The 20,563-nt window shown below is 38.4% G+C and overlaps 1 protein-coding gene across 7 annotated transcripts in view, besides 1 other annotated feature; it reads right to left on the bottom strand.

The window, feature by feature from the left end:
* RAB27B (RAB27B, member RAS oncogene family) overlaps positions 1-10,045 on the bottom strand; it is a 177,660-nt gene extending 167,615 nt beyond the window's left edge. For 5 of the 7 annotated variants that reach the window (XR_007066208.1, XM_017025913.2, XM_006722518.2 and 2 more), the window contains exons 1-2: positions 9,967-10,045; positions 9,761-9,835 (exon numbers count right to left, since the gene is read on the bottom strand). The gene's annotated coding sequence lies outside the window, so the exon portion shown is untranslated. The remainder of the gene's footprint in view (positions 1-9,760; positions 9,836-9,966) is intronic. The other 2 variants (XM_047437725.1, XM_047437726.1) reach the window with 1 other exon arrangement.
* Positions 15,270-15,564: a silencer, noted in NCBI's record as "tiled region #14135; HepG2 Repressive non-DNase unmatched - State 10:DNaseD". NCBI's record gives its function as "represses a minimal TATA promoter and a strong SV40 promoter by Sharpr-MPRA in HepG2 cells {active_cell/tissue: HepG2}" and the evidence as "EXISTENCE:reporter gene assay evidence [ECO:0000049][PMID:27701403]".

The raw sequence follows: 20,563 nt of genomic DNA, 5'->3' as shown, positions 1-20,563 counted from the left end.
TTTTAATATTCCACATATGAAGCAATAAAACACTATATAAAATAAAGGAGCACCAGCATTTTAAACGGTGGCATAATAATGTATATTTTCTCACTGATGCTGAAACGAAACATATAACTATAAGCAGTTTTATCCAAAGGTATGCTGTTGCTAAATGCTGTGGATTTTTCCTGACTATATTAAAAGGAAAAAATAATTTATAGTAATGCATGTGATTATATCTAAAAGGCAAATCTAAATTTGTTTAAAACAATATACAACTATCTTTATTTAGTATTAAGAACTCACCCACAAATATTTGGTTTTTTGTCTAACAAATCCTTTACACAAAACTTGTTTTAATGCATACACTTTTGCTATCTGCCTCCGAGGCACCCCACTACCAGAACTGAAGCTCTTGAAAAGTAAGAGAATGGACCTTAATTGCCTGCCCTTATTCACCCACTAAGGAAATCCCAAATCATATTTAGGAAGTTGAATTTGAAATCAAAGTTAGCTTTCCAAAATTTTCTGTGTCTTAGACTTACATTTTGCTTTTCATTTTATATATACACCTGACTCTCTACTGTTCTGTGTCAATTTGTATTTAACACATTCAGATTTAAAATATATATATATATAAATTCTGGGCTGGGCACAGTGGTTCACACCTGTAATCCCAGCACTTTGGAAGGCCGAGGCAGGCGGATCACGTGAGGTCAGGAGTTCAAGACCAGCCTGGCCAACATGATGAAATTCTGTCTCTACTAAAAATACAAAAATTAGTCGGGCATAGTGGCACATGCCTGTAATCCCAGCTATAGGCTGAGGTAGAATGCTTAAACCCGGGAGGCGGAGGTTGCAGTGAGCTGAGATTGTGCCATTGCACTCCAGCCTGGACAACAGGAGCAAAACTCTGTCTCAAAACAAACAAACAAAAATAGAAACTCTTTCTTTAAAAAACTAAAATCTTATTTTGATATGACAATGAAGACAACAGGTCAACATGGATTTTTAGTTATTATTTATTCTGCTGTATCCTTGCCAACATGCAAAACCCATTAGCAGTCTAGAGATTGTTTACGAAATAGATATATTTCAAAACTGGCATAATGGTTGAAAAGGTAGAGTTGCCCTTACAGAATAAATGAAATTACTGTAAAATTAATGACACAATTTGAAGGTAGAAGTGTTTATACAAAGAAAATCATATAAATCATAATATGTTTTACAAGGACCTAAAACAATGTTTCCTCCAGTATTATTACTGTAGAATTAAACCTATGTGCCCTTCAAAATATGGGTAAAATGGCCTTTTTGTGTGTTTACTTTTAATCATGTGTGAAATTAGAAATCTACTTCCTAACAGGGCTTTTTTTGTGAAACAATTTGAAATCAACTCTGCTGAATGTTAGCGAACAGGAAGAACAGTGATGGAGTCTGTGTGATAGATGTTCATAACTCAGGCTAGTTTAAAAGGCAGGCTGTGGGGAAAATCTTACTGCTAAACATCATGAATTTTTGGAAACCTGAAAACAAGCAAAAATGATGTCATACTTCAGTGTGAGATGTATTCAAAATTCTCTTCGGCCAACCACTTTTTCTTAATGTTGTCGTCATCAGTTTAATGGCAGTATCACCTAGATAACTTAAACTGGAATACTAAATATACTTTGCAACCCTCAGATTTATGATACTTGAGTTTTTATTTAAAATACGATAGGCTATTGAGTAACTTGGGGGAAAGAGTAGGTCTAGAGTCTTTCTTACTTGAATTATTATTCAACTTAACATTAAAAAGTAGATTTATAGTATATTGGACCTTGCTTATAAAAATACAGTCTGTTTCATGTAAAGTGAAATGTTTTAAATTAGTTCCACTCTAACTTTCAGGACATCTGCAGGTCTCATAGATGAGCTGTCATGAAGTATCAATATATTGAAGCTATCTTCTTTCACTTTATTATGCAGCTGGTTCACCAATGATTTCCATAACAAGTTAGATTCCAAAGAGTTCTTTACATTTTCTATAAGCTAGTGTTTATGAACACATTGCATAGACTATGACATGATTTTGCTGTGTCCCCACCCAAATCTCATCTTGAATTGTAATTCCCATAATCCCCACATGTCGTGACAGAGACCAGGTGGAGATAATTTAATCATGGGGGTGGTTTCCCTCGTCCTATTCTCGTGATAGTGAGTTAGTTCTCACGATATCTGATAGTTTTATAAGGGGCTTTCCCCTTCACTAGGCTCATTCTTTCTCCTGCCACCGTGTGAAGAGGTGCCCTCTGCCATGACTGCAAGTTTCCTGAGGCCTCCCGTGCCATGCCGAACTGTGAGGCAATTAAACCTCTTTCCTTTATAAATTACCCAGTCTTGGGCGGTTCTTTATAGCATAATGAGAATGCACTAATACAGGCAACAAACATTACCTTTTAAAGAACTTACACAACTCCTATAAAGTAATCCAGTATTAAGTTTTTACATGGAATTTCAATGAGGTAAGTAAGGTACATTGAAGTCACGTAGTTCAGTCACTGTTTGGAAACTTGAATCCTTAGTAAACTCACCCTGAAATGGTTCTCACTCAAAGGTTAATCACTGCCAGAGACAGAAGGAAGAAAAAAAAGAACTAACGTTTACAGGATACCTATTGTTTTCAGTGCTTTACATATATTATCTCATGTAATCTTTCTGGTAACCTTGAAAGGCACTCTTTCCATTTTTCTTTTAAAGTATAGATCACAGAGATAAGTCATAAGTGGCACCCTTTAGAGGTGCCCTCAGATCTATCTGATTCCTCAAACCATATTCTTCCCTCTGCACCACATTGCCATGAAACACACCTCTCTGCCACAGGAGTCACCATCCCTAATGAGGTCCACTGAGCTCTCACTGAGATTCCACTATTGGTCTAGAAAAGTTCTCTTACTGCGCCCTAAAGTACAAGTCTCATTCCTCTTTCATGTAATAGCATTCAAATTGTTAACAACAGATCATAAGTAAGAATCAAGTTTACTCTTAACCATTCTGTTCACCAAACAAAATATCCTCTGTTCATCCTTTGAAAAAGTTTGAAACTTCTCCATCCTCTTAAAAACCTCCTTGATATGGTTTTTAATGAATCTAGAGCCCTCCTAATGTGAGAAGCCCAGAACTGGAAACAGAATCACTGAGTAATACAGTAGTATAGTAGGTTTTTGTTTGTTTGTTTGTTTTTGTTTTTGATACCTCTCTTACCCAGGCTAGAATGCAGCGGTGTGATCTCGGCTCACTGCAACCTTCGTCTCCCAGGTTCAAGCAATTCTCCCACCTCAGGAGCACACCACTACACCTGGTTAATTTTTGTATTTTTATTAGGGACGGAGTTTCACCATGTTGGCCAGGCTGGTCTCGAACTCCTGATCTCAAGTTATCCCCCTGCCTAAGCCTCCCAAAGCGCTGGGATTACAGGCATGAGCCACGGCACCCAGCCAGTAATACGGTATTATTGGGCTGTCACCTCCCATGTTCTAGATACCTTGTTCCCTTTAGTGTAGCCTAAGCATGCATTAACTTTTCTAGTAGCCACATAACATTAACTTTTCTAGTAGCCACATTGCATTGTCCACTCACATTGAGTTTACTGAGAATTCAAACTACTAAGTAATTTTCTATATATGCTGTTGCTAAGTCATGTCTTTCTTGACCTGGTTGAATTTTTGGATGCTTCTAAAATTTTTAAAATTTTTCCTGCTTCATTAATATTTTGTGAGACTCAGCCAGTTTTACCTTTATTTTGACATCCAACTTTTGATGTAAATAAAAATTCCCCACATTTACACACGTGATACTCCTCACCACTAAAATCACATTTGAAAAACCAAATATGAATTTATAAAAGTATGTTCCCTAAAGAGCACACATTTTGGCCACTATGCCATGGTTCTGGCGCCATCCAACAGTTGGATTATAGTCTCGTCTTTGCAAATAAATATTTACATGAAAAAATATATTTATATTTCATGACCTGTTGCCCTTATTGCTTTATGACATTTACTGGTAGATTAATTCGTAGTGACACTGGAAGGAATCATAGTTGTCATAATTAAAACAAAGTTGTAAATAATTTGGTGTTTTAAATAAGTACTCAATTGACTGAATTAAAATGTGGGAGAGAAAAATTATGCAAGCTGCTAGATGCATACCTTGAAGATTGTCTTTAAATGTTGATGTGTTACTAGGGATTTTATCTATCTGTTTATCTATCTACCTACGTATCATCTATCTATCTATCTATCTATGTCTATCTAATTCTCTAGCTATCTATTGTTTCTCTCAGAATTATACAATCTTAATAAAATTTTTTATTATTTACAGTCAATATTACTACTTATATTCAGGATTATACTATATGTGGGATTAGTAGACCTCCTGAACTCACTTATTCCTTCCACATTTCTGATGTTTTATTTGCAATAAACATAAGTTCCAGAATTGTTCCAAGCATAATAGTTGAATAATAGATAAATTTTTGAAGAAAATGACAAAATAACTACCTGATACTGTTGATTATCATAAAACCCAATCCCAATACATAGCAATAAAGAATAGGCCCCAAGTAGATCAAGTTACATCTCCAATAACACGCCGGTGGGGCACCTCAGAGCCGCAGGTAGATTTTAAACAGTAGCAGCACAAGGTCTCATAAACTTGAGTTTTACTCCTGGCCCACCTCTCTCCCACTGCTTATTTTATCCCCAGCAAGAGCCTTTGCTCTTTCCTGGTTCTGAACAAGGACACATTTTAGCCTGAACATGTCAATTTGTCTGTGGCTGCCACTCAGGGGAATTCCATTTTCTTTTACAAGATTGGAAAGTTGTCTCAATCAAGTCCAAACCCATCACAGACATTTTCCCCCAACCATGCCTCTTTTCTATGCCAGACTTTTCCATTTAAAAAAAAATTTAGTTTAGTTTTCTGTTTTGACTTTTGTTTGATAAAGTAGCTTCAAATACAGCTAGCTGATAGACTCCAGGAGGAAGGTTTTCCTTTGAAATAACTGGGGAAAAATATTGTTGAACCATTTTGATCCTATGCATAACTGTAGTGTCAAGAACAATAGAAGGAAAATACTTAAAATCACACCATAGCAATTTTCTACTTAAAAAAATGTATAGCAGTTGCTTGGGGGAATACATGTGCATGTTTGTGTGCAGGTATGTATTTCATGGCTGCACGCCTATGAGATGACAAAACCCCAAGCATCTTTAGATGTGAATTCTCCAAGTATCAATGAACTACCTTCTTTATCCATAAATTTATCAAAGAAATACTGATCTTTATCAATTGCCTCTTCTACTTGAGCCTGAAAGCTGTGCTGTGCACTATGAAATGCCATGTGCATCGCACTCAACTTCTCAAGAAGTGGGATGTGATGGGCTGAGCCCAGTAAGCACAGTCCTTCCAGAGGCTATGTCTAACCTCCGTGGATGTAGTCATCTCACTACAGCATTGCCTGAGAGGAGCAGCACCATAATCAACACCCATCAACCAGTGTGTTGGTGGTTTCTGGGGAAATAAGCAAAATTAATAACATCTGCATCTAACAAAGATCCTAGCTGAGGCTTGCTCTTTAGAAGATTCGGAAACAATTCTTTCTTTTTCTGTTGTCTGTGGAAGTGCCAGTCTTTTCTCCCTCAACTCTGTGACAGAATTCACCCAAAAAATTTAAAGAAAGCGGTACAGGAGTGGTAAAACAATCAAATACTTGTTTGTTGGATGAAGTATTTGAAGGAGTTAGTTCATAAAGTTGTAGCACTTCGTAAGTCATCATGGAAATTAAATTCTTCCATAGTGTCATAGAAAGTCAACATATATCATCTCATTTTTCCTCTTGTCAAAATTCTATAACGTTTTATGAAACGGGCTCCAAGGGTAAATTTCTCAAGATTTCAAAGTTTCAGAATGACACAGAATGGATTTAAACTGCAGCAGGTTTGCTTCTAAATCCACACACTTGCTGTTGTAGCACCGTGCCTCTCATTATCTGGCTAACTTTTTCACCTGGATCCCTGATGATACATCACTTTTTCAGGAAGTCTTCCAAACAACCCTAACTGAAAATGCCACAAAGCCATTCCTTATCACAGTATCCTCTTTTAATTTTCCAGTTAGCACTCATCAGATATATTCTGGTTTATTTAATTGGCAATAAATTATAGTAATAATAACAACATAATTTTAGTAACAATGCATTTGGTTAATAATATTTAATTGCTTGCTTTTTGCCTCTATTCCTTCACAAAATGATGGAAACTGTGCAAGGGGGGACATAACTTGTTTACTGCTCCAACTCCCATACTTGCAATACAGCAAGAGATCATTAATACATATTAATGAAAAATAATTCAAAGACATTAATTGCTGTGTCCAAAAAATGTTACACTGATTCCAGCCTGCAAACTCCAACGTTCACTATTATGTGAAAGAGCAAATCTTATTTGCAATTTAAACATCTGTGAAATCATGATTAATATTTATCAACAAGTTTCCTTAGCGTTAACTTCCTCCCTATCAACTAATATATTTAAGGGAAAAGGAGTGAAGGTATATTAATCGTCTCCCATGTTCACATCAGTTATAGTTGTGTCAACCAGGAGGGACAAGTTAAAGCAATGTTTTGGATAAACTTGCATATCAACAAATGTATGAACACATTGCGTATGTGTCCTTTACACTCAAAAACTGAATCTCATATATTTAAAAGCTTTCTGCATATCTATAAACTTATTTCTTTATAAGTAACATCCAGTTCTGGAAACAACAAAACCTTTTCTCTGGAGAAAAACTTCTTCCCAAACTATATGATGGATAATAACTTTCCCTTTGGCCAAACTCCAACAAAATACATAATTTGTGCCTCCCAGTTCACACAACTATAACTGATGTGGAGATGACACATCACTTACATACTCTCATTTTCTTTCCTTTAAGTCTTTTATTTAAGGGGAAATCATAATGGGAAAATCTCAAGTTACATGTAATTCCTATTTATTGTGGCATGTGTATGTGGCCAACAGATTCTTAAAAACTCATATTAGAATTGGAATTATCTTTCATGACAAATAAAAAAGGACCGTTTGTTATTCTTCCACATTTCTTTTTCTCATCCATTCAGTAAACACTGTCTCCCACAGGTCTACCATTGGTCCCTGGATGACTTATTGCATTTTTCTGTGGTTTCTACTAGGAGATATATTTTCTTACTTATACAGATGCTCAGAAAAAGAAATTTGAAAAAGCAAACTGCAATACTAGAATAATTTTGCTGATACTTCTTCCTTTATGTTAGCTTCTTCTGGATGGCTTAGTACTGTAAATGCTATATTTTTCTATGTAGAAATAATGTAAAATCTGTCTTTTAGAAATGTCTAAGTATTCTATTCATGAAAGAATTTCTGTTAGGGAATATTGTCTGTCTTTTTGGATGGAAAAGTACTGCTGTTGGTGAAATCGGTGGAATGAGATTTACTATTTATTGGAACTATTTTTGCTAAAAATATGCATGTTAAAATCCATCTGTTAGAAATGTCAACCTTAACACTACCAAGTAAATCTGTATAATATTGATATCTACCTGAATCTCTTGGGCTGCAAGACTTTTCAAGGCCTTGGGATAACCTCAGGCATCAAACTCATTGACAAAGTAGTGATTGTACATTCTAACAAATTCATTTTAGCCTTTACATTTTATTTCTTAGCTTAAGTCCCATTTGTTTGCTAGTAATTCTGAACTTCTGCTAAGCACTGTGCCAACTGTCTTCATTTGATTAGGTCAAGCCAGTGGACTTAATTTTAGGACTTAAATTCAGGAAGAAAGTTCAAAATTCATGTCCTGAAAAGTGTGTCTGTCAAATTCTGAATAAAAACATACTTCTTGGGACTTTTTCCCCTATCATCATTGAATTCAATGAATCTTTATACTTAACATAAAATGAAGTTATTTAAAATTATTAACAAGACATGTGTAATGATGAGTCTGACATGAAACTGAAGTTTAAGGCTGCAAATCATTATATGATGGGTAGGAATTTTCAAAACTAAGTTTTAATTTGAAGAATTGAGTCATCTTTACAGACTTGGAATATAGGAAGCATTTTAAAAAGAGAAAGGAGAAAACTTTAATAACACAAAGTTTATGAAGATATGTAATATACACAAACTTGAAAATAAATTGTAGGTGCACCAATGCAAAAATAGGTTTAAAAAATTACTTTTGCCCAGAAACTAATGAAAGTTTACTACCACCCCCAATCTAATTTCCCTAACTTCCTTCAGAAGCAAATCACTATCTAGAAAAAATGACTTTCTCTGCCTAAGAAATGTTATATAGCAATATAAACATGTTTTCGATATATTTATTTTCATTTGCTACAGATACTGCAAGTTAATAATTACAATCATTAGTAATTTTAGTTACATTTAAAAAGTATAGGTAGCATACCTATATAGTAAATATTATATCAGAATATTCAAAATATTTAAAAAACAGTAAAGTAAAACTTAGTCTCTTTCTCCCTCATATCCTCTGCCCCTCTTTTGTTTACCAAATAAAGAGTGTTAAGGGAACTATAGATACATTTTCAAAACTTTGATACCTAAACACTTTGAAATCACATTTAGGATATTTCAATATATCAAATACAAGAAACTTAAACATATACTTTTTTGAACCATTAGAAGTATTTTAAAAATTATTTAACAAATGTTTTTCATTAAAGTCACACTTTTAATGTTGATGCCTTGCATTGTGTCTTAGTTAAATATTTTCTTTCCTGAAATAAATTTTGTTGGTACTGTTCATCTTACAATGAATTTTATCTTACATGTTTATCTTACCATGAATTGTCCACTAGCAGAACTCAATATTTTGTTCATTTATGAATACACTTGCCTATTACATTTTGGCATAATGTATACAAATTTAAACTAATTACTGTGGTCAAAACCACATCTAACAGTTTGGGAAGGCTTTAAAGTATTAAAAGAGCCTTGAATGCATAAAATTGGCACCAAGGCTCTTAAAAAGCACCTTCAATTGATTTGTAAAATACTCAAAAAGAATTTTCCATCTCCCCCATAAAATCATAATCATTTGGGTTTTCTAATAGCAAACTACTCTCTTATCATGCATAATCAAAATTATTTTTGAACAGGAAAAAAGAATCTTAGATTAGCATTGTTTTTTAATGTTTCTGTGTGCCATCTACTAGCTGTGGTATTGAGTCAGGAAAAAGTATATGGTATATGGTTAAGAAAAAGCAAACTAGATTTCTCTTCAGTGGCTTTACACTGTGGGGCACCAAATGACTTAATAGCTTTCTGGCAGTCTACATCTATGATAGGAGTATTTGCAGAAATAAAGAAAGCATAAAAAGACTCCAACACTGCACCATGGCAATGATTAGAAAGGACAGTCTTTGAGCTTTGAAAACAGAAAGCAGAATCCATGCACGCAGTCTGCAGCCCTGAGCAAAATCTCTTTCCCATTCAAACTCAGTTGCAAACCCAGCTTCTCTTGCAAACCCACAGGCTGGAAGAGGAAACCACAGCCACTCCAAAGTAGAGTTTCAGGCCCATCATTAGCGGTTTCTGTCACCATCTAGTTGCATTTCCTTTATGAATGAAATATGCAGATGGCATCTCACATTGGCTCTTTCAACGAAGAAGAGGAAGGTCAAGAGACACGACTAATACAGCCAACACATTAGAGATCTGTGACCAACGTACTCACACCTCCAAACGCCTCCAGATTGCAGCCTCTGGAAATATCTAGCCCATTTCTTTATGGCACTGTTGCTTCGATCAGCTGTGGAAATTAACATAAAATAATATAGTAACCCAATAGGTGCTGGACAGCATTTCAGAGCATCATATTAAGGGAACACTAAAGGCACGTGACAGTATTCAAAGCCTGAGTGATAAATAGCAAGTAAATACCTTCTAATCGAACAGAAGGGGGAAGGATGCTGAGCCGATACTGATGCTGCCTGCTCTCTTCCTGTGTAACAGCAAAGGCGGCTCAGTCCCTCTGACAGGCTGTGAAGCGTGGCTGCCTATCGGCTCCTGGGCGGTCCTAGTGCCTGCGCCAGGTTAGCACACAAGGTAGCTCCAAAGAGCCTCCCTGTTTCTGGTGATTCTTCTAATGATTATCACCAAAGATTTTCAGGGATGTCAGCCAGCTAAGCATCAGGGCAGTGGGGTTTGGGTTTGGGAAAAATGATCAGTAAATAGAGTTTGCTACTGTCAATCAGACACTGCTGTTGAAACCAAAAAGGATTATAGATGATCTTGTCTGTTAAATAAATGATGCTCATGAAAATGTTGAAGCCAGAGGGCTGTTAAAAAGAAAACTAATTTGATAATATCCTATATCTACTAAAATCCATGTGTTTTGTTTTCTTTTTTCCATGTTTAATGTGTAAGGGAAAAAAATTAAGAAGTAGGAGGTTTTCAAAGTCTGATATATTTACGTAACTATTTGCAAAAAGTGTTTGCTAAAAGCCTAAAAAGTCCGTTAGTAGCTTATGCTGTTCAAACATTTAAAATGAAATAAATGCAAAAACAAACAAAATTGAGACCTCCAGAAACTTATTCTATAAAAGAGACAAAACGTTCAAGTGTCACTTCATGTAAACGCCACTCTTCATCTTTCTCTATTCATTCCCCCCACCTTTTCCCCATCATGACATTTATATTTTGTAATTTAGTTATTGTTGAACTCCCCTGCAATGTAGTATCTGTGAAGGAATCTGTTCTACTGACTTTTTTTTTTTTTTTTTTTTTTGAGACAGGGTCTTCCTCTTGTCACTCAAGCTGGTGTGCAGTGGTGCCATCTCGGCTCACTGCAATCTCCTTCTCCCAGGTCAAGCAATTCTCCAACCTCAGCCTCCAGAGTAGCTGGGACCAATGGTGTGCCAGCATGCTTGGCTAATTATTTGTATTTTGGGTAGAGATGGGATTTCACCATATTGCCCAGGCTGGTCTCGAACTCCTGAGCTAAAGCAATCCACCTGCCTTGGCCTCCAAAGTGCTGGGGTTACAGGCATGAGCCACTATGCCCAGCCTCTATTGACTTTGATAAAGTAACCCCTGGAAGATTACCCAGCATGCAACAGGCCCTCAGTAAATATTTGTGAAAAGATAAATGAGGCAGTAAGCTGAGAAATTACACTATAGAATACGGGTACAGAAGTTAATCTTGTAAGTGATTAAATTCAATTTAGCATACTTCTCTGCACAACTACTTTTAATAAGGGACTGTGCTAAGTATATGTTTGCCTCTAAGGAGCTTATAATTTTTTATTTTTTATTTTTTTGAGTCGGAGTCTCACTCTATTGCTGAGGATGGATTGCAGTGGTGCAATCTCAACTTACTGGAGCCTCCTGCCTCTCAGGCTCAAGCAATTCTTGTGTGCACGCCATGCCCAGCTAATATTTGTACTTTTAGTAGAGACAGAGTTTCACCATGTTGGTCAGGCTGGTATTGAACTCCTGAGCTGAAGTGATCTGCCCACCTTGGCCTCCCAAAGTGCTGGGATTACAGGTGTGAGCCACTGTGCCCAGCCAGGAGCTTATAATTTAAATATAGAGAAAAATATTAGTGTATGTGTATAATCAAATAATTACATGTACATAAAATACTTGCCATAAAAGAATGGACAATGTAAGTCAGAATATGCTATATTTGCTAAGGGCTTCTATGTCTGGATGTTATGAGTATGGAGTGGAACTGGGCAATTGGGTTTGAGAATTCAACCCAACTGATTTCTTTTTTTCCCCAGAGTACATAGAGTTCAGGTGGCAGTGGGCAGGTTGGTACAGAAGGGACTAGAATATGGAAAGTGAACTCTAGTAAGATTGGTTAGCAGAGTAAATACCAGTACTAAGACAGGTGAAGACAGGGAGTACAGGTACAGGTATGTGGGCACTGTAGGCCCTGGATCAAAGCCTCACATTGGCAAGTAGTCATCAGGAGAGTGTTCCTCTCCACCAAGAGATGGTTGCCTTCCAGAGCAGGGAGGGCAGCTCATACCTTGTGGTCCAGGCATTCAGACCACAGGATGAAGTGTAGTAGCAGTAACAAGGTATATCAGCCCATAACAAGGCAATGTGCCATTGAGGCTGAGGCTCAGGGCTTCTGAGGGAAGGAGAGAAAAAATCAAGGTAAGACTCTTGCTGTGGAGAACTCAAGGCTAGTGTTTCTCATGGAAAAAGTACAGATCCAAAAGGCATGGGGTGAGACTGAACCCAACCACAAGGGACAGTGATGTTTTTATAGGATCTAAGGATCCAGAAATCAACCTGTTTGTCATGTGCAGGTCAAACAGCTTTGACTGTGGTTGGACAACTTCAAGACTAGGGAGCCATGTTGATGACTAGAGTCAGGTGAACCCAGAGTGATTAGTGATCAATGAAAGAATGCCTCGTTGAGGCCTGAGGATTGTGGTTTGCTTATCCACTGCACTTCTTTCCACTTCTTCCTAATTCAGCATGTTTTCTGAAATGAGACTTTTTTTATTTTTAAAGAAGTTGATCAGCACCAAAGGACACTAATGTACCCTCAATTAGATCCTTGTTATTACAAAGTGGTGAATGGGCTGGACTGCAGAAGGGGAGTGGCTAGTGTGTGAGGGAGGCAATGCCCCACCATTAAGCATTTCTCTGTAGCTACTGATTTTTATAATATTGGAGAGCTCCCTGAGAAACAAAGCACTATGTCCATGATTGGGCCTCAGACATACACTGACATGTCATCTGTGCAATGACTCCAGGTGGAGAGAAGAAAAGTGAGGCTGCTGAGAGACATGTCACCATAAATCAGAAGGATCCCAGCTTGAGGAAACAGACCTCACCACAGGACCTGCGGGTAGAGGGGAGTGGTGGGTCTTTGTAGATCTTTGTGACTGAGATGGACATGATTGTAATAGAAAAAGACTCCATACAAACTGAAAACCCTAAGATACTGCAATAGACTGAATATTTGTGTCCCCCCAGAATTCATATGTTGGGATTCTAACCCTTAATGTGATGGTTTCAGAATGTGGGGGTCATTGAGAGATTAGGTCATGAGGGTAGAGCGCTAATGGGTGGGATTAGTGTTCTTATCAAAGAGACTCGCAAGAGCTCTCTCACCCACTTTCTGCTATGTGAGGATCGAAAGGGAAGTGGGCAGCCTACAACTCAGAAGAGAACCCTCAGCAGAACCTGACTGTGCTGGCACTCTGATCTTGGACTTCCAGCCTCCAGAACTGTGAAAAGAAAATTTATGTTGTTTATAAACCACCCAGTCTACACTTTGTTACAGAAGCCTGAATTGACTAAGATAGATAGCTCATAAACTCTGTAGTATTTTGGCCCTGAGAAAACTTGAAATGTGTGGGTGCTGTTATCCTCTTCCCTTTCAGTCTGCTTGGCTCACACAGGTGTGTTGAGATTCAGTGCCTGGAAGAATCACTGGGGACCCCCATCAGGTCAGGAACTGCTGGTTCTGCAGGGACAGCTGTGTCACAGTGCCCAGGTTTGTAAAGGGGGGTGCTGGTATCACAGATCTTGGGCTCAACTTGCCAAAAGCCAATGGTGACTATAAGAACAGTGTGACTTGGACCAGTCTGTGGCTTTTCAAGATGACTGTGCAGTGAAGGACATTGTAAGGAGCTGGAATTCATGGATGAGCCGGTGAAGGGGGGCTCAGATCCTGTGGGATTGGTTATCAATTATATGTGACCTTATGTGTACTCACGTGCTAGTGAATTGTGGCAGTCAGGTGCCATATGCAAATGTATCTGTTATAGAATAGAGTGGGATAATCACTGACTTTGGGACTACAGACCTGGATTTAAATCTGACACTTTGTGCTTCCATATAGTTTAATAAGTAGTACTTCATAGGCTTCTTGTGATGACCCCATGTCAACTACATTTAAAGGCCTAGCACAGAATAGCTCCCCATTACAAAAAGAAAACCTGCCGGGCACGGCGGCTCACGCCCGTAATCTCAGCACTCTGGGAGGCCGAAGTAGCTGGATCACCTGAGGTCAGGAGTTCAAGACCAGCCTGGCCAATATGGTGAAACCCCATCTCTACTAAAAATTCAAAATTGGCCGGGCGTGGTGGCACATGCCTGTAATCCCAGTTACTCGGGAGGCCAAGGAAGGAGAATCACTTGAACCCGGAAGACAGAGGTTGCAGTGAGCTAAGATCATGCCATAGCACTCCAGCCTAGGCAACAAGAAGAAAACTCCATCTCAAAACAAAAAAAAAAGTGTTTCTTTTTAGAAAAGGAAACCACTATATTTAGTAGCATAAAGCCAAAGGCTGCCACTCTGGAGATGTGCAGCATTGATAACAGCAATGACTTTCAAGCTTCTTTCACTTTGAAACTTTACAAAGTGAATCTCAGTTTCTTCATAAGTATAATCCAGTAATAATACCTCTGCAAAGAGTTTGTTTAGGATTAGATAGGATCATACATGCAGAGTGCTTAGCATGAATATTCTATACGTGGATCAAGGAATGGTTAAATAAATTGTGGTGGTTATTAAAATAAAACAGAACCTCTACCTCTTCAAGGTGATACAGGAGGAGGGTAGAGAAATGCTGGGTAGAGAAAGGCAGGTCCCTGGCTAGGGCCCTAGCCCCACAGACCTAGGTGAGGACAGGCACTTCTGCCTTTGTGCCCAAATGTTGCATTTTCCAAGACCACCCTGGCCCACCACACCCCTCTCTTGGGCCTATAAAAAGCTGAGACCCTAGCAAGGCAGAGATGAAAGCTGCTGGAGGGCGAGAGGAAAACATCAGTGGAAGAAGACAAGCTGCTGGACATCAAGAGGACACGGAGGGAGCATGCCGGCAGAAGAGCACACCAACAAACGCTGGCACACTGGCAGGCCATCCACCTGCAGGAGAGGCGGAGTTTGGCATGTGCCTGAGCGGCCCAACTCCAGGGGAAAACCGTCTCCCTTCTGGCTCATCCAGCAGTGAAGAGCTATTTCCACTCAATAAAACTTGGCACTCATTCTCCAAGCCCACCTGTGATCCGATTCTTCTGGTACACCAAGGCAAGAACCCAGGATACAGAATGCCCTCTGTCCTTGTGACAAGGTGTAGAGTCTAATTGAGCTGGTTAACATAAGCTGCCTATAGACAGCAAACCAAGAGAGCACCCTGTAACACAAACCCACTGGGGCTTCAGGAGCTATAAACATTCATGCCTAGACACTGCAGTGAGGTTGGAGCCCCACAGCCTGCCTGTCTCTGGGCTCCCCTAGAGTTTTGAGCAGCAGGCACTGAAGAAGCGAGCCACACCCCCATCACACACCCTGCTAGGGGAACAAGGGAACATTTCCCGTTTCAAAGGCATATAAAATGTGAATCATGTGCTTTCTGGATTCATGTAGTAAGAGAAATTTTCTGTCTCAAAACAAGTGTGTCATGCTTTTCATGACCTGGGGTGATCAAATGCTTAGAATAATAACACCAAGTAACATGACTCATCTAAGAAAAAGATATGAGATGAAACTATACTACATTATACTACATTGCAAATGCATTTCTTACCAGCCCCACCGTTCTTTTAAATATTTGAATTCCACAATATATTCAACATCTTGTGTGACTATGTTATTTGTATCAACACTGAGAATAATTCATATTTGTAGATAGAGTAAAGCTCTTTTAAAGAAGCTTCAATAAATCATCATTGCCATCACTTTTGCCTCACCCCCAGTCCCAATGCTCCTCATTTTAACCGACTTACTCCAATCTACTCAACAAAACATGCTGACTGATGTCCACACATGTAGAAGGCTAGTGTTTACTCCCAAGCATGTCCGTGTTCTTCCACTCTATTTGAGTTACACGTAAACCAAGATTCATTAGCGTATAGTACCAAAGCTGTTAGTGTTGGATGTATTTTTAGTGTAACTATATAATTGAATTGAAAGGTGTTTATACTGATAAGATATGAGTGCAAAAGAGAGTTACTATTTCTAAGAAAAATAAATGTAATGCTTTGTAACAACTAGATAAAGATGATTCGCTAAAATAAATTGTTGCCAAATCAGCTATGGGCCCAAAATATTCTAGAGGATTGAAAGTAAATTTTGTGACATGGTGGCTCATGCCTGTAATCCCAGCACTTTGGGAGGTTCAGACAGGTGGATCACTTGAGGTCACGAGTTCGAGACCAGCCTGGCCAATATGGCGAAACCCTGTCTCTACTAAAAATACAAAAATTAGCTAGATGTGGTGGTGCACACCTGTAATACCAGCTACTTGGAAGGCTGAGGCACAAGAACTACTTGAACCTGGGAGGTGGAGGTTGCAGTGAGCCAAGATTGCATCACTGCACTCCAGCGAGAGTGAAACTGTGTCTGAAAACAAACAAACAAAAATAATAGAGAATTATGTATTCAGATGGCTTTGCAAGGGTTTTGTGTTCTTGCTCCACTTAACAGAACTAAAACTAGAAATTATAGACACTTGATACTCATACACACTCAAAGGAAAGAACTTGTCCTCATTGTAAAAGAGTGACAAATAAGTTAACATTTATCTATTTTAAGTTGAGGTAAAAGATTTAAAGTGTATGTCTTATGCTTTCTAATGTAACTAGCATTTTTTTAAAATGACCAAGGTGGTATCCTCATCACATCAGACTTCCCTTGTAATACATCATATGCTTTGTTTGGATATAACTTCGGTAGCCTTCCTGTCCTGAACCAAATTAAACATTTATAATGGCACAAGGAAAGGACTTAACATGGACTTTGCCTCACTATATGTAATATAAATTAAAGCAGTGTCATCTAATATAAATGCTTTTAAACACATAGCGTAGAGCACCTTTGCCAATAGGCTAAGTAGAGTCCAGGAAATGTACATAGACAGGAGAGCTCTACACAAAAATTCCTAACCAGACTGAAGGAGTCATACCCAGTTTGTCTGTATATTTAATGGCATGCAAGGTATGCTCTACCAAGGAAAGGTCACCTTGAGAATATCTTGAAAACACATTCTCTAAAGTCTATGAAAATGAAGACCAAAAAATGGCCACAAATAATCTCATCAGTTGCCATCAGTGACTTTTTCATTATTTACATAACAAAGCCCCATTTTGAGGAACTTCATCATCATCATCATCATCATCATCATCATCATCATCATAATATAGCTTTTAGTTGTCATAAAAACATGATGGAAAATGAATATGGTTATGTTAGCGGTGGTGAATCCATACAGGTCTGCATCAGCCCCAATTCTTGCCTCCTCAGAAGAAAGAATTCAACCGAGGGGTCATAAGGCAGAGTGACAGACCAAGGCAAGTTTTAGAGCAGGAGTGAAAGTTTATTAAAACGTTTTAGGGCAGGGATGAAAGGAAGCTAAGTACACTTGGAAGAGGGCCAAGCAGGTGGCTTGGGAGATCAAGTGCACAGTTTGACCTCTGACTTGGGGTTTTATATGTTGGCATACTTCTGGGGTCTTGTTTCCTTTCTCCCCTGATTCTTGCCTTGGGGTGGGCTGTCTGCATGCACAGTGGCCTGCTAGCACTTGGGAGGGGCCCTATGCACAGTGTGTTTACTGGAGTTGTATGCATACTCACTTGAGGCGTTCTTCCCTTACCAGCTGAATGTTCCTACGAGGAACAGTTCAACTCCGTCACTTTACCTCTTAATGTGCATGCTTGAGCCCACTCGCCCAACTCCTGAGATCTTATCAGGAACCTATTGACCATCAGTTTCAGGTTTTTCTACTGGGAGACTGCCTTTCCCTCGCACTAGCAGTGACCAATTATTATTTTAGAGAAGCAGTGTAATAACTGCTTGGCCATCACCTGATGGTTGCCTGATATTCCTAGGGAGGCAGAGGCTCTCCTGCCCCGCTCATGCCTGACTCGCTATCTACTGTAACAGTTATGGTATATCAATAATTAGTTAATCTACTTTCCAAAACACTTTCATCTTCACTGAATTCTTTGTTAAAGGTGTTGAAGTTATTTGGTATTCTTCAGAATTTTCATGATTGCAGAATAATTGCTAAAAGATATGTAGTGAATATGCCTTATTGCTTCTTTACAGCTAAGCCTTCTCTTGCCTTCACAAGAAGTTGTAGCAGAAAGTTTCTGGGAAGACCCCAGTTCATATTTCTACCATTTAGTGTACCTGGCATTCACACTATTAGAAGGGTTAAACTGGAGGTCATTATTAAAAGAATTCTCGGTCGGGTGCGGTGGCTCACTCCTGTAATCCCAGCACTTTGGGAGGCTGAGGCAGGCAGATCACTTGAAGTTAGGAGTTCAAGACCAGCCTGGCCAACATAGTGAAACCCCATCTCTACTAAAAGTACAAAAAAAAAAAATTAGCCAGGCATGGTGGCACATGGCCGTAATCCCAGCTACTCAGGAGGCTGAGGCACAAGAATCACTTGAACCTGGGAGGCAGAAGTTGCAGTGAGCTGAGATCCCACAACTGCACTCCAGCCTGTATGACAGAGAGAGACTTTGTCTCAAAAAAAAAGAATTGTCAAATTTTACTTTGAGCTGCTGTGAGTTTCAATAGGGGAAGCCCTTTTATCCCAACTGTGTTCAATCATGTCCCAGTTTTCTGAAAACTAGGAATGTGCTTTTGTGGTTTAAAGAGTTAATTCACAGAAGAGCTTGCACATCTAGTGAAAGAAGATGCCCTCAGTCTGCTCATCATACCCCATGGGGTGTTCCAATATTGCTGGTATCACTAAAATGAGATCATATGGGAAGATTTCATGAGAAGATACATTCATTTATTTAAAACATATTTATTAAGTGCCTACTATGTTTCAACTATTGTGTTAGGCACTGAGAATATGAGGATGAACAAAGCTATGGACAGTCTACTTTCATGGAGCCCACAGTCTGCTGTGGGAGACAGACATCTATCAAACAATATCACTGTGAAATTTCAATTACAACCTGAGGTGAAGTCTTGAAAGTAAAGGGAAATGACTCTTGAAAGCAATTGACAATAGAACCAAATCTATCAGAGTATGATGAAGGCTTTCCTTAGCAAGTAACATCTGAGCTGACATTTAAAAGATGGGAGAGAGTTAATTAGGTGAAAAAAGGAAGGCAAAAGAGGAAGACTTCTGAACCAATAGCTTGCAAACCTTCTTGTAACCACAAATATATACCAAATATTTTAAATTATCATACCCATGCAAACATATACATATATAAAATTTAAACAAAACTTTCTAACAATGACACTATAGCCCTTACTACCTGCAATCCACACTAATTTTTTCTATTCCTTTCAATTTCATTTTTAAAATTTAGTTATGATTTATTAATCTGCAGTTAAACTGTAATAATGGTATTCAACTTCCACTTTACTATCAGGAACAAAAACCTTAAAACACACACTATCTCATGCAAGCACACTCTCTCTCTCTCTCTCTGATATAGCAGTGTTCTCACAGGTGACCAAAGAAGTCTCCATGGATATCCCATGGATATCATATTTGTTGAATATGAAACAAATAAGAAACACAAAACTAATTACATAAGCCCATGCCAGGATAATAAGGAGCAGCCCGTAGGCAAGTGACAGGAATGGGTGCCTGGAAAGGGCAGGGTTACCCCAGGCTCAAAGCATTTCTTTGAGGTTGCTCAAAGCATTTCTTCTCTCTGCAAACTGGTCTTTAGGTCATCTGCAATATGCATGAAGGTATCCTGGGGATAGGTGTTGGTTTGAAGTCCTTCTTTTGACAGGAAAAAATTCTCTCTGGAGGAATTCTTTCCAATTCCCAACTTAGAAACTCAGTACTCCCAATAACTAAAATCAAGTATTAATACACAATTAAATATCACCAAATGCAAACTACAGGTTGGGAGAAAATTTTTGCAATCTATGCATCTGACAAAGGTCTAGTACCCAGAATCTACAAGGAACTTGAACAAATTTATAAGAAAAAAAAACAAACCCAATAAAAAGTGGGCAAAGGACATGAACAGACACTTCTCAAAAGAAGACATTCATGCAGCCAACAAACAAAAAAAGCTCAACATCACTAATCATTAGAGAAATGCAAATCAAAACCATAATGAGATACCATCTCCTGCCATTCAGAATGGCAATTATCAAAAAGTGTAGAAACAACGGATGCTGGCGAGGTTGTGGAGAAATAGGAATGCTTTTACACTGCTGGTGGGAAGGTAAATTAGTTCAACCATTGTGGAAGACAGTGTGAGGATTCCTCAAAGATCTAGAACCAGAAATGCCATTTGACCCAGCAATCCCATTACTGGGTATATACCCAAAGGAATATAAATCATTCTATTATAAAGATACATGCACACGTATATTCATTGCAGCACCATTCACAATAGCAAAGACATGGAATAAACCAAAATGCCAATCAATGATAGACTGGATAAAGAAAATGTGGTACATACACACCATGGAATACTATGCAGCCATAAAAAGGAATGAGATAATGTCCTTTGCATGTACATGGGTAGAGCTGGAAGCCATTATCCTCAGCAAACTAATTCAGGAACAGAA

Source organism: Homo sapiens, chromosome 18, assembly GCF_000001405.40.
Source record: "Homo sapiens chromosome 18, GRCh38.p14 Primary Assembly".
Classification (NCBI taxonomy): Eukaryota; Metazoa; Chordata; class Mammalia; order Primates; family Hominidae; genus Homo; species Homo sapiens.
The sequence above is the reverse complement of the archived record's forward strand: the minus strand, read 5'-3'. Positions and strand labels throughout refer to the sequence as shown.